Source organism: Homo sapiens, chromosome 11 (genome assembly GCF_000001405.40).
Source record: "Homo sapiens chromosome 11, GRCh38.p14 Primary Assembly".
In the NCBI taxonomy this organism is placed as follows: Eukaryota; Metazoa; Chordata; class Mammalia; order Primates; family Hominidae; genus Homo; species Homo sapiens.
Window position 1 is genome coordinate 131,038,521 of NC_000011.10, and position 3,693 is coordinate 131,042,213.

Here is a 3,693-nt window from a genome sequence, read left to right on the forward strand (position 1 = left end):
TCTTCGACTCTGGACTCGAGGGTTCCTCCCATCTTGGCCTTTCAGAGTGCTGAGATTACAGGAGTGAGCCACTGCACCTGGCAAGTGGGAGAAATCTTGATATCTTCAAAATAATTGCTTTTACCTCCCTTTTTTCCTTTTCCTCTTCCTCACGGATGTCATTAATTTTGCTTTGTTGTTCCTTCTCCAGAATGGGGAATGTGAAGGTGGAGTGGGTATTGTTGGCCAAACCAAGAATACACCACATAGGGGCAGCAGAGAGTTTATTATAGACGAATGAGCTAGAGACGGGGCGGATCTAAACATCATGACAGTGACCTCCACTGATGGCTTGAATGTACATGTTCCTGAACTGCTTAAAATACAAGTCCAACGTCAGCACAGTACTAGAAAGCTCAATTGCAGAAGGTTTGCATTGTATGATCAGTTCACCATGGAAATAGTAGTAAGCATCTCCATGTAAGAGGGTGACCATCTTTTCTGAGTTGTCTAAGGCAGTCTCAATTTGCTTCCGAGGTCCTAAGTTAATTATAAATAGCACCTCCCTTCAGTTTCAAATGTATTCAGATTTGGGTGATGGCGGACACACTCACCCTATGCACAAGTTCTCTGGTGTCTTTAACTGGCCTAAATTCCAGATGAGACCAGTTCTGGGAGTGGGAGGGGATGAGCAAGAGTCAACAAGAAAAATAACTTTTAAGATGGGTTTTGAAAGTGAGTTTGGCAATAAAAATGGTAAACAAACAACCCCCAAAAATATATAACCAAAGCAGAAGAGCGGAGATGGGAATGTGAGATAAACTAAGAGGTTCCAGAAAAGTTAAACATGGAAAGATCCCCAGATGTATCTGTGTCTGTAAGTGGGAAAGAAAACTTCGATAGGCTGCTGGCCTTGGATGGAAAGGGCATCATTATTGGCAGTAAGAGTTTGGATATGACAATTTATTAATCGAGAACTTTTGATCCTTCTTTTTAGACCCTTATCCATTGGGCTGTCTTCAGGGTTTTAATAGGTGGAAGATCAGCCTGGCCCTTTGCCAAGGGAAATGATAATGTATTCTTTTTGTTTTCCAAAGTGTTCATGTGGGAATTGTTAATTTCTGAAATATAAGAGTTGATCTGGTGTTTGATCACACAGGGGACACCCACCATCTGCCATAGGACCTTTGCCCTTCTGGAAAATTACTGAACCACAGTATATCAAAATGATACACAAACAAAAATCAATTGCTTGAGATTCCAACTCTGACCACAGAGTCAATAAGAATGACAAGGATAAATTTGTTCTTCCCTTAAATGCTCTTACAATACAAATAGAGTGAAACTCAAGTATGGAGACAGGTGTAGAGAAACACTTGAAGATTGGGGAAGGCAGAAGAAGTGGGAGAATCCAAAAGAGGATAATAGGGTCAAGGACAGAAAATAAATAGAACAAGAAAGTAGACATGAGGAAAACCACCAGAAAAAAGCCCTAAGTCCTCTTCTTTCTTGAAAATTGTATACGCTCTTGTTATTTTTCTGCAACTTTTTCATGTGTCTCAAGGGTAGAAAAGGAAGTAATGGCAACTGCAAATAGCTCTGTGGTGCTTGCCAGAAGCTGGGAGATGGGGAGATGATCGTCCTATAGAAAAGGGTGCAGAATCAGTGCATTTAGGCAAAGTAACGATGATGCTGCTAATGGTAAGAATGTAATGATAGCTAATTCTTCTTGAGCTCTTAAAATGTGTCAGGCATTTTCTGAAGTGCATGTTTTTTAATTCTTTAATTTTTATAACTACTGTTTAAGATAGGCTATATTACAATTTTTATTTTAAAAATGGAGAAACTAAGGCACAAAGCAGCCAAGTTAATTGCCCAAGTCACACGACCAGTAAATGTCAGATTTCAGATGTAAGGCAATTGATTAGAAATGGAGATGAAAGGAAGTTTTTGACTCTATCCAAGATTCAATGAACATAGTGAAAGACATTCAAGGAAAATTTCCAGAGGCTAAATATGAAACAAAATCACCTTAATTTCACATATTTATTCAAGAAAGAAAATCAAATGCCCATGGTTGAGGGTGAGATAAATGGGTTTGTAGATCTGTCTTCCAAGATATGTTTGTGGCTAATTCAGTCTATGCCTTAATACTCATTATTTATATATGTAATAACTAAACTTATTATATTATTATTGTAACCTTTTTATATGTATGCTTGCCTGATATTTTAGTGTGGAGGTTGGGGATGTGGAAGATAGGTCAGACACTAAGTAATATTTTATGAAACAAATGATCTGGAAAAGGTTTGTGAAAGATGACATAAGTGATGGGGACTCATAAGGAAAAGAATGTGTCTTACAGAATGAAGGACACTCACCCAAGATTTGGCAGCAAGATCATAGAGCAAAACGAGGGCATCAGATTACAGGGACATTTGCTGAAGTTAAGGGGATCACTCTTATCCTGATTTCTACTGCCTTTGTTTATCATGCATAAAGCAATTACGCGAACTTAAAGTATAATAATAAAAAAATAGTAATAAAGAAACTCTTCTCTCAAGGAGTTTATATTTTGGCTGGAAAGACTGGATCTACATAACAAGGTATTTGCTAATATTCAACCCAGGTAGATTGCAGCCTCCGCAACGGCAAAGACTGTATCAACTCGAATAAAAGGAAATCAGCTAAAAATGGCTCAGTCAAGAAGATATTTATCTCACAGAACAAGGATTTCAGAGACGGGGTGTGGTCACTTTGACTAATTCACTGGTTCAAAGTTATGCCCAAGCTGCAGGATTCACTTCTCTGTGATTGTCTTGGCTTTCCCCTCATGGTTGCAAGACCACTCCTGCTGTTCCAGAAGTCCCAGGTGGTGTCAATGTCTAGAGTCATAAAAGGAAATGCCTTTCCAGTTTTAAGAATAAGTGAGACCTTCCAAGAAGTCTCTCAACACATCAGTCATAGGCCAAAGTTGCCTCATGCACTCAGGACTAAACCAATAACTTGTAAAAAACAGTGGCAGGTAAAACTGCCAGCACCTTAGCATGAATCAAGGGAGTGGCATCCAGTTCTGCTGGTAGCCATCGTATTATTCACTGCCGCCTGCTCACAGTAAAGAACAATGCCAGTTTCACTTAAAAATGTCCTTGATGAAGCAATAAAAGTTACTAATTTCATTAAATCTTGGCCCATCAATACGTGTCTTTTTAATATACTATGTGACAAACTGGTAGGTACACCTAAGGCACTTCTGTTGCATTCTGAAGTATGATTGTTTCCTGGTCATCTTGAGGCAAAAATGCATGTGTGCTTACGTGAGTTATAAGCTGAAGTATTTAATGTTTCCACAGAACACCATTTTTACTTGAAAGAACAACAGAGAAACTATGATTATTCAGACGTGGGTATTTGGCAGACATTTTCCCAAAAATGAATGAAGTGAGTCACTTCAAGGAAAACAACCAACAGTGTTTGTTGACAATAATAAAATTTGAGTTTTCAAGTGAAAATTGGAATTTTGGAAAAATCAGTATCTGTGTCCGCTTGACAGTTTCTCAGTATTTAAAGATTTTTGTGATGAAATTAGTGGCAATGTTAACAAATGTAGTTTTTAAAATTTTGTCTCAGAGTAAACAAGTCAACATTTGGAAGATCTGAATAATTCAGTGAACCAATATTTTCCAAATGACCAAGGCATGCTGTTACAAAATC

General features: G+C 38.1%; 1 annotated feature.

Annotated features, from left to right (window-relative positions):
• Window positions 262-331: an enhancer, noted in NCBI's record as "active region_5757". NCBI's record gives its function as "activates an Ori minimal core promoter by ATAC-STARR-seq in GM12878 lymphoblastoid cells {active_cell/tissue: GM12878}" and the evidence as "EXISTENCE:reporter gene assay evidence [ECO:0000049][PMID:35858748]".